Here is a 13434-nt window from a genome sequence, read left to right on the forward strand (position 1 = left end):
ACACTTCATGAAGCACCTGCTTCCTTTGAGACCCCTTGCCCAGGTGAGAAAACTGAGGCTCAGAGCAAAGCGGTCTCCCAAGGATATCCTAGGAGTTTGTGGCAAAGGTCGCATCTGAAGTGGGTCTTTAGCTCTCAGTTGTCTTCTACGGTGCCTCTTCTTCCCAAAGAGGACACTCCCCAGCCGGGTTCTCAAAGGCACAGTGATGGGCACACTCTCAAAGCAGCTGCTTTTCCAGGTGGAGGGGAGGGCCCGCCCCCACAGGCAGGTCTGAGTCATGGGCAGGGCGAGGAGGGGCTGGTCACTTTCTGGACATGGGTGGTGGAGAGAAGACAGAGGACGTTCTCTGCCTGGCTGGGCGGGTGCCCAGGAAAGTTTATTTTTATTCTTCCATCTCCCTCCTTGCAGCTCTGCCCACCCACCGTGGACATTATTGGGGCCTGCTCACCCAGGGGCTCCCTCCCAGCCCCCAGCCCCCTCCTCCCTGCCAGCCAGCCCCACCCACACCCAGCTCAAATGTAACCATGAACTAACAGGCATGACACAGGCCTCTCAGGCCCTGTCCAAGTGCCAGGGGCCGACTGGAAGCCTTTGAATGCTCCCTGACTTCCAGAGCTGGCATTTGGGGAGGAGCCATGCAGGCCTGGGGTCCCAGACCCACCCTACGTCTGGCTCCCTGACTCTGCCCCTGAGCACTGTGTGACCTGGGCCACATCACCAGGCCTCTCTGATCTGCTTTCTTATCCAAGAAGAAAACAGGCTTAGGCCACATGCCTGGGAGAGTCCAATCTCAGGTTCGAAACTGGCTCTCTGAACTTCGACAAGTTACTTAGCTTCTCTATGCCACAGTTTTCTCATCTGTAAAATGAGGCCAGTAGCAGTACCTCCCTATAAGGTTGTTGTGAAGCTTAAAGAGGACAGGCATACAAAGCATCCCACAAGGCACCTGGTGTATAGTAAGTGCTCAGGAAACAATAGTTAGTCTTGTTCAGTTTTCATGAACGCCTCCTGGCTCTGTTTAGAGGGTTCCGTGAGAGAGTTCATAGAAAGCATTTTGAACAGTGACCAGCTCACAGTAATCATGCAGGAAATGTGAGCTATCGTCAGTGTTATTAAAAGGGGCCATTAAAAGTCTGAATTCTCAGGCCAAATAGCAGATCGTGAGGACTGGAGTGGAATGTAGAAATTGTCTAGTTCGATTGAAGAACTTCACAGATTTGGAAACTGAGGTTGAGAGGGGTGGTGCTGGGGTGACCAAGCATCACAGTTTGCTCAGGACAGCCTCAGTTTACGCCTGTGGTCCCATCATAATTCTTAAGGGTGCTCTTTCCAATCTCAGAAATGTCCCTGCTCGGAGGATCAATGATCTGGTCTCTGTGGCAACAGGCCTGGGCCAGATCCCATCATCACTGTCGCTGTTGACATGTCACCCTTGGGGACAAGTCAGGAAACGCATTTCCCTTTCTCTCTATCTTGGGGCAGCCATGCACACACACTCACACACCCCTTTCTTCCCAGATCCTGGGGGAACAGGAGAAGGACAGGCTGTCCCACGGTCCACCCGCTGCTCACGTAAGCTGACTTCACAAATTCCTTGGCTGCGGTTCTACACCATCCTCTTTGTGAGACCAGAGGCACCATGAGGGCCACTCTGGGCCCAAATGACCACAGGGAGCCTGGGGGTCCTGGCCACTATCCCAGACCATGGTGGCCGGGCTGGGATGGGGTGGGTGGGCAGGACCTTCCAGAGTAAAGCCTTCTATCAGCCTCATAAGGGTTCCCTTCACTCCTCCAGGCTGACTTCACTCCCATTGTGACTGCCACACCCCCTCAAACCCCGACCCCACCTTGGAGGGAACTTTATCCCTCTGACAAGGATGGCATTTGTCTAGTGTGGCCTGGACCCCATAACGGAGTCTGTCGGGTCTCAAACTGTCTGGGTGAAAACACACAACATCTAAGAATGTGTGGGGTCAGGCCACATGCTCCATTCGCTGAGTGACCTTAGCCAGCTCTCCTGCTTCTCTGGGCCTCAGTTTCCCATCACAAGCTACAATGTTCCCACACAGGAGCAGAGTCAGCTGGCCAGGCCTTGAGCCGGGCGCTGACCCAGGCCAGGCCTGGAGTTGGGGGAGGGCCTGGTTTCCTGGTATTGTCCCTCAGGCTTCTCCGGGCCCCGGGAATTTCTTGGTTGCTTGGACAGGGAAGCTGTGTGCACTCTGTACTCAGAGATCTGGGCTCTTCCGTGGCTGCCTACAGGGGCTGCGGAAGTGACCGGGGCAGGTTGGTTATGGTTTGAGATAAGTTGGTGGAGACTGGAGGACAGAGATTAGCTTGCTGAGGTGGGAAGGTCAGCAGCAGCCCTTCACCCAACCCCAAACTCAGGGCCCTAATTACCTAACACTACGCTGCCCAGACAATTGGAGAAGGAGAAATAAGAAAGGGGACATCTGGAGTGAAAGAAGAGGAAAGAAGGCAGCCTTATCCTCAGCGAACGAACGCAGGAGCAGAAAAGCAAATCCCCCATGTTCTCACTTATAAGTGGGAGAGAAATGACGAGAACATATGGACGCATAGAGGGAAACAACACACACTGGGGCCTCCTTGAGGGTGGAGGGTGAGAGGAGGGAGAGGAGCAGAAAAAATAACGCTTGGGTACTAGACTTAGCACCTGGGTGACAAAATAATCGGTACCACAAACCCCCGTGACACGAGTTTACCTATATAACAAACCTGCACGTGTACCCATGAACCTAAAATAAAAGTTTTAAAAAAGAAAGAAAGAAAGAAAGAAAAATAAATAAAAAAGAAAGTAGAAATCACAGGCTGCCCAAGCCAGCAGCTCATCTACCATTCCATTTCACAGAGGAACACACTGAGCCCTGGCAGGCACTTGTGATAAATGCGCCTGCTGCAGGGACATAGGGATGAAAAGCCTCACTCTGCAGTCGGGGTTTGAAGCCTTCTGTGTCCCTGACTCACTGTGTGACTGACCTTCCTGAGCCAGTGACTTGACCTTTCTGAGCCTCAGCTTTCCCATCTGCAAAATGGAGTCCTTTATAACTTCTAAGCTGCGAGGATTCAAGACAAGCATGCGTTCAGTGGGTGCCCCACAGATGTTGTGATTTTCACTATCACAAGTCTGACTCTTCTCAGGCCACCAGACCCAGCCCTTAACTGCCATGTACCCTAACTTTTCACTTCGTAAAGGGGGAAACTGAGACTGGAGGGTCAGAGACTTGCTGGGGGCTCCTTGGCTCTGTTAGCAAGAGAACTTTGGGGGCCAGTGTGCTTGTGGGGGAGCCCCTGGGCAGTGGGTGTGTCTCCACCAGGAGGGCAGGGGCAGGGAGGAGAAGGATGGAGGAGCTATCCGAGGCTAGGCTGCAGTCCCCATGATAAGCCTTATCAACAGCCTTCTAGTTCAATGCAGGCCTCAGCCAAGGAATGCTTGCTGCCATCTCTGCCCTCAGAGACTTCAGAAAGAGCTGGCCTTTCCCAACCCGAGTCCTAGCCAGGTGGCCCCTCACTGACCTCAAGGGAATGGCTGCCACCAGAAACCAGACCCACTGATTTGGCATTTGAGGCCATTTTCCCAGGAATGGCCAACAAAGAAAATTGCGCATCACGCATCTGGGGATGAGACGCCTGGGGACTTGGTGTCCCTTTACCTATCCCTGGGGCCCCAGTACAAAGATAAGTAACAGCTGCAAATATCTGCAGGCCCTCCCCCATAGCAGACACTTAACAACCTTCCAATGTGAGGGCTTTCAGATGATGAAACCTCAGAGGCTCAGAGAGGTTAAGTAATTTGCCTAAGGTCACACAGCAGGTAGGCAGCCCAGCCTGCGCTAGAATCCTAGTCTTTCTGTCCAGCCCCGGAGATTGAGGCAGCCTCCTAATGCTTGGAGAATGAACTGCTGGGACCCAGAACTGCCCACATGGAAGGCTGAAGCTAGCTGGGCTTTTTCTCTGCCACCCAGGCCTGATTTGGGCCTGATCCCAGTGCCTGGCTGGGTTGCGTGGATTTCAGGCAGCAGAGAGATTAGAAAGTTGTTTTGATATGGGAAAGGGCAGACAGGATCTTTTTCTTTTTTCTTTTAAGGTGGTGTCTTGCTATGTTGTCCAGGCTGGATTCAAAGTCCTAGGCTCAAATGATCCTCTCACCTCAGCCTCCCAAATAGCTGGGATTACAGACATGTACCACCATGCCTGGCTTGTGGATAGGAATTTTTTTACTACAGACAGGGTTTCTCCACGTTGGTCAGGCTGGTCTTGAACTCCCAACCTCAGGTGATCCGCCCTCCTCAGCCTCCCAAAGTGCTGGGATTACAGGTGTGAGCCACCACGCCCAGCCTGTGGATGGGATCCTGATCAACTTTCCTGGTTGAAGGCTGACCTGCAACCCTGGTGATAATAGGCTTTCAGAAGCTCAGGGTTCCAGAGGCACAGACTTGCTCACAAAGCTGGTGGTCTGCCATGACATCTCCTTCCTTTCCGGGCCTCAGTTCCCTCATCTCTAAAATGGGGCTGATGACAGGTGGCAATCTCCCAGGGAACAAAGAAGGTAAAGTTATTTGTCCTGTTCTCTGTCAGGGTTCTGGGGCATGTCGGGGTGGAGAGGAAGTGGTGGTGGTGGTGGTGGTGGTGGAGTGGGGTTGCAGGTACTCACCGGTCACGACACTGAAGGTGAGACTGTCTACACTGGCCTCGTAGTTGCGGCCCTCAAAGTGCAGGGTCAGCCAGAAGGGCTGGCCCCGTCGCACCACCAGCTTCTCCCGGCACAGGTCGGCCGTGTGGTGGTCTCGGCCATTGGTCTCCAGCTCCAGATCACACCTCTCTAAGACCAGCTCTATGGAAACAGAAGGAGACGCATGAGCCTCGGGGGCATCCTTCAGACCTCCAGTGATGCACCTGCCCTCCCTAGACATGGGGGCCTTGTGCCCTCTTACTCCCCACAAAGCACAGCCATTGTTTCGACTGACCTGTCTCCCCAGCCCTGGTCACACGGGGGCTAGGTGGGGCCCAATCTCCCTAACTCTTTTTTTTCTTTTTAATTTAATTGAGAAAAGGTCTTGCTTTGTTGCCCAGGCTGGAGTGCAGTGGTGTGATCATAGCTCACTGTAGCCTTGAATTCCTGGGCTCAAGGGATCGTCCCACCCCAGCCTCCTGAGTAGCTGAGAGGACAGGCGTGCACCACTAATTTTTTCATTTATCAGTGAGCTGGGACTATAGGTATGTGCCCAGCTAATTTCTTCATTTTTGGTTTTGCCATGTTGCCCAGGCTGCTCTCGAACTCCTGGGCCAAGTGATGGCTCCTGCCTTGACCTACCAAAGTGCAGGTGCGAGCCACAGTGCCCAGCTTTGCCTAAATCTTTTAATCACAAGGTCGTGACCCCCTGTGGCACTTCCTAGCTGTGTGACCTCCAGCAGCCATGGGACCAGCAGTATCTACCTCCCAGGGCTGGTGTGAGCAAGAAATGAATTAATGCATGTAAAACACTTAGTACAATGTCTGTTGTGTAATAAATACTCAATAAACACGAGCTATTCTATTGCTATCAGAGGGTTCTTTTGGTTTAAGCAGGGGCAGTATTTGGTACAGGTCAATTACATGGCCTTTGCCTTTAGATCCAATGTTCAATTTACAGGAAATACCCAGGGCTGAGGAACAAGTTAAACACAGAACCAGGATGCAGTTGACAAACTTCATATACTGGGAAATTATTGACAAAGGGTCCGGTTTCTTTAATAAATAGATTGCAAGAAAGAAAATGAAAAAAACATTGAAGAGAGAACCTATAAAGAGAAACTTAAACCCGTTGTGATGTATTGATCTATTTGGATCTTGATTTCAAAAAAGTATTTTAAAACATTTATTACATGTATGAGACAACTGGAAATTTAAATACTGATGGCATAATGGTGATATCAAAGAATTTTTGTTAATTTGTTTGTGTTAAAAAAAAGAGAGTCCTTATCCTTTAAAGGCATATACTGAAACATTGACAGATGACATGATGTGATGTCTGAGATGAAGGTGCGCAGGGGCAGGAGACACCACGGTGGTCAGTGCTGGGTGATGAGGACATAGGAATTTATTAAACAATTCTGTCTATTTTTGTGTATGTTCAATATTCTCCAAAACAAAACATTTTTAACATGATAGGTGCTTTGGAGACTTCCAGAGGTAGGTTTTAGTTCTGCTGTGTTGCTGTGTGAGCCTGGATAAGTGTCTCTCCCTCTCTGTGACTCCTCCTCTGAAGTCTCAAGGGGCTGCTGTGAGTCTAGAAGATGTGTTGGGAACCCCCTTCCCCACGGCCCAGCCCAGGACAGAAGCTTGATACGTGAAAGTTCCATTTACAGTTTCAGATGGAGCAGAGGACCAGGGCACGGTCAGGGTGACAGATGGGTGGGGGTCTTGGGGGAAAACAAATCTCATAAACCTTGGCAAGCTCAAGGTCAGGATGGGGAAGCCCTTAAGGTGGGAGGAGTGGGCAAGACAGACTCTGAGTGTGGAGCCACTGGACAGCATGTGGTCCAAGTGAGGCCCAGGGGCAGGAATTTGTTCAAAGTCACGCCGCAAGTTGGTCCTTGCAGTGGGAGAGCCCAGGTCTCCTGCTCACCATCGACTATTCCAAAAATGAGATGCAAAGTGCCTTGTATGTGAATTATCTCGACTTAAATCCCAAAACAACTCCGCTTACATAGATGCTATCATGATTCCCATTTTGTAGACAAAGACACCAGGTGGCTCCAGGTCCCAGAGCAAGTGGCTGCTTTGGGATTGGAATCCAGAGCTGTAGGATTCTGTAGGATTCTGCCCTGGGAACCACCTCACTACAGCTCAGTTTTTTCTCCAGCCCCTCTTATGACCACCCCTTCGCCACCATGTCCTGTGTTGTTCTCAAACCTGGGGGCAGATAGTTCTGCGCCACTGAAGTATCAGGGATGTCGGTCCCCGTGTAATCACAACAGAAGAGACCTCAGTGGCCAGAAGGAAAAACTTCCTGCTGGCCTATTGCGGCGAGGAAATGTTTTTGGAAACTTCAGACCCAGGGAGCTTGAGCAGGAAAGAGGCCATTGTTGTTCCCATGGAAGACCCTGGAGATACGGCCAGTCCCTGGGCTGTGGGAGCTGGGGCATTTTCTCCATCTGTTGTCCGAAGAAGGGTTTCCAGAAATCACGCCCAGCTCCAAAGATGCAGGTCTAGAATTGTAGGATTTATAGGATTTCTGCACTTAGAAAGGGCCTAGGCCTTCTAGGCCAGTGAGACCTCTGTCAGAAGTGGCCACTGTGACATGGGGCTGGAGGCTCATCATAACTGGCATCTCCAGGATCTCCCAGCCCCACTGAGCCCTGCTTTTGAGCATGGGGGTGAGAAGATGCATTGAGGACAAGCGGCCACCGAGGCGACACATCACAGTGTGTTGGGAGCTGGGCCCGAGGGAGGCAGGTGGCTGAGATCACACAGCAGGGTCAGGTGGGTCCACAGTTCCTGCCACCCATTCCTGCTCCACCTGCCCCATGTCCCTGTCCCACACCCCTTCCTGGGGGTTGCAATGGGTGCAGAAGCCATCCCCAGATGAACTTGACCCAAGAGCCAGCTGGGATTCTGGGTCCAGCAGTGACATCCTCCATTGTAGAAATCCCTCCAGCTGGGACCTACGAGAGTGCTGCTTGTGTGTGGGGAGGGAGTCAGGGGCACCAGTATGAAATTAGTTAAGCCTCTGTTCCACTCCTCTCGTTCCTCACAGATGCACCAAAGGCTGGAGCAGAGGACCAGGGCACGGTCAGGGTGACAGATGGGTGGGGGTCTTGGGGGAAAACAAATCTCATAAACCTTGTCCTATAAAATAAGGACACTGTTGTCCTTATTTTATAGGTGAGACTCAACAATTGGCCAAGGTCTAGGGTTGCAGAACGTGAGGGCGGGAAGAACAAGCCTGATTTCCGAAGGCTCCTGGATAGGATGCCGAAAGCTCCTCTCTGGCCGCTGGAGCCAAGGACTCAGCCAGGCTTGGCTTGCACACCACCGGCGTGGCATGCACACCACCTGGTCCTGGCTGGCAAGAACCACCCAAACCTAAGTGTTCTGAGGCCAGGCCAGCACCCCCTGCACAGCTCCAGGCACACATCAGAGAGCCAGCCCCCACTGACTGACTGAGGACACGTGCCAGTGGTCCGCCAGGACAGTACTTTACAGTTTACAACACCCCGTCGCGTTCCATTGCCTCACCTGATCCAGGGAGGCAAGGGTTAATGGTTATGCAGTGTGGATGGGGAAACTGAGGCTCCAAGCAGCATTGAGACGCCTCCTCACCCAGCCCGGTCTGCCTGTTGCTCTCCAAATCAGGACTTAGGGATTCAGCTCCCACCGGGTCCTGACCCCCAATGCCCCGGGGCCCCTGAGTGGCGGCTGCGGTGACTCTGATACTCACCCTCGGCCATGGTCGGGCGGGGGCGGTGGCTCCTTCCACTGGCGGCGAGACCCTCCAAGTGCGACCACTGGCGGCTGGCACTGCCGAGGCGGAGAGCGGCGCTAACTTATAGCCCGCTTTGGGGCGGGCCGGGGGCGGGGCCCCGCGGGAAGGCGGCGACCTGGGAGGCCACCCATTGCCCAGTCCCGGGCCCACGCCGCCAGCGCTGGGGCTCACCCAGGGGACCGGAGCCCGAGGGAGGGACGGCGGCCGGACGAGGGCGCCCCCTGGGGGAGCGGACAGGGACACACAACTAGCCCAGGATACAGACACACCTGGACCCACAGACTCAGACCTTGGAGAACAGACACCTGGACACACACACTCAGATACAGACACACGCAGCACCCTCATAGAAACACACAACGGAACCGGGGTGCACCTGGACACACAGATGTGGACTCTTAGGTCAGATCTGGGATCAAGAACACCTCCCCACCCCCAACACACACACACACACACACACACACACACGCACACACTCACACACATACTCAGATATACATACACAGAGAGCAGACGCAGACACACCAAGACAGGGCTGTGGAGATACACACACAAACACAGATACACTCCCACAGATACACCAAACACGGCTGGCCACGCAGACACAGTGACATGGATACAAATTCAGATTCGAATGGCAGACACACACCAGGACATAGATACAGCCTGACACAGCCAGGTAGCCTTGACCGCGAGCCACACACAGCTGTGGACACAGATGAGCAGGTGTCCAGAGGCACCTGGCACACACACAGACCTCCTAGACACCAATGCCACTGTCAGATGTGGACGCAAAATCAGAGAGGGCACCCACAGACACACAAAGATGTGGCTACTCAGAGGTAGACACACATGCAGGCATGGACTCAGGTACAGACATGCAGACACACCTGCAAAAACAGACACACCCATGTCCCTTCCTGTAGCAAAACCCAGATAATCCTCCGATCTCACCCATCCTTGTATCTGTCTAATCAGCCATCCATCTAATCAGCCATCCATCTACCCATCCATCCACTCACCCATGCATCACCTACCCCCCCACCTATCCATCCACTCATCCCTTCATCCATCCCTCCCTCGGCCTTCTCTTCCCTCCCTCCCTCAATCCATCCATCCACTGAGCTTTCTTGAGGCCCCACTGTGTGCCAGAAAGGAGCAAGACTAACTTTCCAGGGACTCAGCCTAGGACTTCTCGAACCTGGCAACCAGGGGTCCTATCTCTCATCCTGGTATCTCTGGTCTCTTGGTCTCCTGTGCTTCCGGATCCACTGTGAGCCCTGAGCGGGAAGGGTTCCCGGAGAGACAGAGGCCCACGGGGCTTCCCTGGCACTTTTTCCAAAACAAGCTCTACATTCCGGAGCAAGCTCTACATTCCAGAACAAGCTGTACATTCCGGAACAAGCTCTACATCTATTGATGAATTTGGAAGATAGAAGTAGCCCCCGTCTCCATTCCTAGGTGACATATGGCTCAGGGAAAACAACCCGTGTTGCTTCAGTGGATATTTCTCCCTGGGTCAAACGGGCTCTGGCTGGAGTCTCAGTGAACAAACCCACAAAGAGTGTTGGGCCCAGCTGACCCGTAATTGCCCCATTTTATAGAGATTGTTGCAGAAACTGCTCCCTGCAGCTGGTGAAAGCTTGGAGGAAAGAGCAGCGTGAGGAGAATCACCCGACCGAGAGGGAAGTCGGTCAAGAGGCCGGGGTTCAAGTTCCCACTCTGCCCCTGACCAGCTGTGTGGCCATGGGCAGGATTTTGCCTCAGTTTCCTCCTCTGCAAAATGGGGGAAAGAATCCCTCCCTCACAGGCCTGAGTAAGACTCAATCTAAATGACCAAGTTTGGGTGCCTTATACGTGGTGAGCATGCAATAACTGGGGCCCTGAGATTTGGCATGGAAATATCAAGTATCCCAGCACCTGGCTATTTCGGGACCTCAAGGAGAGACGGGAGGCATGGGGACAGTCAGTTCTGCAGAACAAAGGCTGTGTTTCCACAGGCGTTAGCCCTGCCCCAGATGAAAGGATGGGTTTGGCCTTTTCTACCAGGTATTTTTTCCTTTAAAACCCTCAGCCTGGGAGCTCCCTAGAAGACAGGGAGCCACCTAAGTATTTTATTTTTTTGAGACAGGGTCCCACTCTGTCACCCAGATCGTGTAGTGGTGTGATCTTTGCTCACTGCAGCCTCCATCCCTCGGGCTCAAGCGATCCTCCTGCCTCAGCTTCCCTGAGTAGCTGGGACTACAGGAGTGCGCCACCATGCCCAGTTAATATTTCTAATTTTTGTAGAGATGGAGGTCTCACTATGTTGCCCAGGCTGGTCTCAAACTCCTGAGCTCTAGTGATCTGCACGCCTCGACCTCCCAAAGTGCTGGGATTATAGTCATGAACCACTGTGCCCAGCCCACGAGAGATTTTTAAACTCTTCTTGACCACAGTGTCCAGCATGGTGCCTGGCTCACCACCAGCCCCCAAAAGTGTTTGATTTGAGAAATCATCAATTCTATCAGCAGCAGCACCAGCTCCATTCTGAACATTGTTATTCCCTCTTCCTGCAGGCCTGGACTTAGTTCATTACACAGAGTGGGTATGTCACGCAGCTCTGGGTTTAAATTTTGGCCTCCTCACTGTGTAGCCATGTCCACTACACAGCAAGTCACTTAACCTCTGTGCCTCAGTTTCCTCATTTGTAAAATGGGGGCAGTATTGGTACCCACTCCCCAGAGTGTCATGAGGACTGAGTGAGCTAATTCATGGAGAGTTTGTACAGCAGCAGCCAAACAGTCAGCCCTCAATGGATGCTGGCTGTGAGAAGAATCCCATTAGATTATTCCTGGATCCCAGCACAGGGCTTAGCACAGAATTCCAGGCCTGTCCCGCACCCAGCCAGCTGCCCCCACTTCCTCTCCCACATTCCACAGAACTATGGCCACCTGAGTGACGCATGGCGTTGAGCAACCCCAGGATGTGGCCAGCCGGGGTCAGGACTGGCTTCTAGGAAGTTGGCAGACAGAGGCCAGAACCCAGGCTTGGCCCAGAGACCTGGATTCCAGTCCCAGTGACCAGGCACCCTTGCCCCTCTCTGGGTTTCAGTTTTCCCATTTGTTCAAAGGGACTGGGAAACTGTGCCCTGTCTTACCTCACCGGGGCTGTAAAGGTTTCAAAACTCCCCTGAGTCCCAGAGAGGGTGATCATGGCCTCAAGATCCCCAGACACTGCAATCAGGGCCCTTTGTCATCTATTCAGGGGAAGTGTTGTGCAATGCTTAGAGCAGGAGGGCTGTGAGGTCACTCTTGGCTGTGTGACTCTGGATAAGTTACTAGGCCTCTCTGAGCTTCAGTTTCCTCCTCTATAAAATTGGTATCGTAAGAGTCCCTGCCACTGGGGATTAGAGATCATGTTTCTACAGTGCTTACAGGTCACATAGTAAGTACTCAGTAAATGTCACCTAAGCTTTATGATGATGTCATCAAGAGTCAGGACCCTCTCCAGAAAAGGGAGAGTCCCCGTGTGTGGGTGAAGCAGGTTGCAGTCAATGTAGCATATTTATTTGGTGGGTGTTGCTCAGAAAGACTCTCTGTCTCACAAATAAATCTTGTTCTCACAGCCACTGATGCCTAGAATCCCAGCGTTAGAGAGATTCAGTCCCTTCCACAAGGATTCTCAAGCCTCAAGGTGGAGACAAAGGTGAATATTTAGAAACTTTGGAATAACCCACTACCAGCCAGATATTCCATTTAAACCTCACAGTATGATTCTTATCATTTGTTAAATGAGGAACCCTGGGTTCAGAGAGGGGAAGTGCCTCACCCAAGGCCACACAGTCAGGAAGTGGGAAAGCAGGGCCTGTGCTGGCTCCGCCAAGGTTCAGAGGTCAGTCCTGTCTCCCCGTGCCCTGCAGGGCAGTCCTCAGGGGCCTGGGCCATGTCCAGTTCTACAGCTTTTAGCAAGTGAGGCCTCCGAGGACTGCAGCTTGTGCTCCTAACACATGGCATGTGGTATACACTGGATGCTTAATAAATGTTTATGACCTGAGGGAGGAATGAGTTACCCACAGCTGGAGAAAGAATAGAAGGAAGGAAGGAAACACAGAAACAAGATTAAAGTTCAGCAAGGTTGGAGAAACTGCCTAAGGTCACACAGCATGACCAGGCTCTCGGGCCCTGGCTCAGCTCAGCCACTCCTCAAGGACAAGGTGCCTCCAGGCCAGAGACAGACGTAGACAGCTGATGTGAGAGGGAGGGAGGGCGGGGTGGGCAGGAGTGTGCCAGGGCATCTGGAGGCTTTTCTACCAACTACTGACTAACCGGGATGAGCAGTGTCTGGTGTGAGGGAGCATAGGGAGGGTGGGGCAGGCTCTCCTGAGGTGGGATGGGGTGGGGCAGGGGTGTTAGGTTGCGGACTTAAGGAAAATGTCAGGAGGCAGGTGTGACCTTTCAAGCCCTTTGAGAGAATGGCCTGTCTGGGGCAGGATCTGGGTCTCCCAGGCTGTGGAGGACAGAGAACAGGGCATCTGTGGAGGGAGGGAGGATTCTTCCAGCGTGTCCACTTTGCAGATGGAGAAACTGACCTGGTTGTCTTGTCCTCAGCTCTGACTCCACAATGTACCACCCTCCAGGTGTAGTGCATCCCCCTTCCACCGTCCCTGCAGCCGGCACGGGGTCCCAGCCCCTTGAGCTTGATGGGCCATGGGTAGGCACTTTTATTCACTTCTCTGAAGCATCAGTTTCTGTTTCTGTGAAAGTGAGAATCACATCCCAGACCTCATGAGGCACTGGAGGCCCTGCAGGGCTGACCCAGCTTACCCTTCAATCGCATCTTCCACATTCATCCCTTCCAGCCTCACCAGGCATGGTACTTGCCCTCAAATGAGCCCTGCAAACACCCACCTCTAGGGCTTTGCTCCAGCTGTGTCCTCTACCCAGGATGGCCTTCCCTCTTCACCTATCGA

The 13434-nt window shown here is 52.8% G+C and overlaps 1 protein-coding gene across 7 annotated transcripts in view, besides 1 other annotated feature; it reads right to left on the reverse strand.

The window, feature by feature from the left end:
* The window catches only part of TGM2 (transglutaminase 2), a 41091-nt gene extending 29366 nt beyond the window's left edge, over positions 1–11725 (reverse strand). For 3 of the 7 annotated variants that reach the window (NM_001323317.2, NM_004613.4, NM_198951.3), the window contains exons 1-2: positions 8439–8520; positions 4670–4849 (exon numbers count right to left, since the gene is read on the reverse strand). In NM_001323317.2, the coding sequence (NP_001310246.1) occupies positions 4670–4849; positions 8439–8448 (190 nt within the window). In that variant the 5' untranslated portion in view covers positions 8449–8520. Of the gene's footprint in view, positions 1–4669; positions 4850–8438; positions 8521–9652; positions 9759–11622 lie in introns of those variants that run through there. The other 4 variants (XM_047440443.1, NM_001323316.2, XM_011529028.2 and 1 more) reach the window with 4 other exon arrangements.
* Positions 8373–8812: a silencer, noted in NCBI's record as "silent region_12897". NCBI's record gives its function as "represses an Ori minimal core promoter by ATAC-STARR-seq in GM12878 lymphoblastoid cells {active_cell/tissue: GM12878}" and the evidence as "EXISTENCE:reporter gene assay evidence [ECO:0000049][PMID:35858748]".
* Positions 11726–13434: the final 1709 nt, after the last annotated feature.

Source organism: Homo sapiens, chromosome 20 (genome assembly GCF_000001405.40).
Source record: "Homo sapiens chromosome 20, GRCh38.p14 Primary Assembly".
NCBI classification, from domain to species: Eukaryota; Metazoa; Chordata; class Mammalia; order Primates; family Hominidae; genus Homo; species Homo sapiens.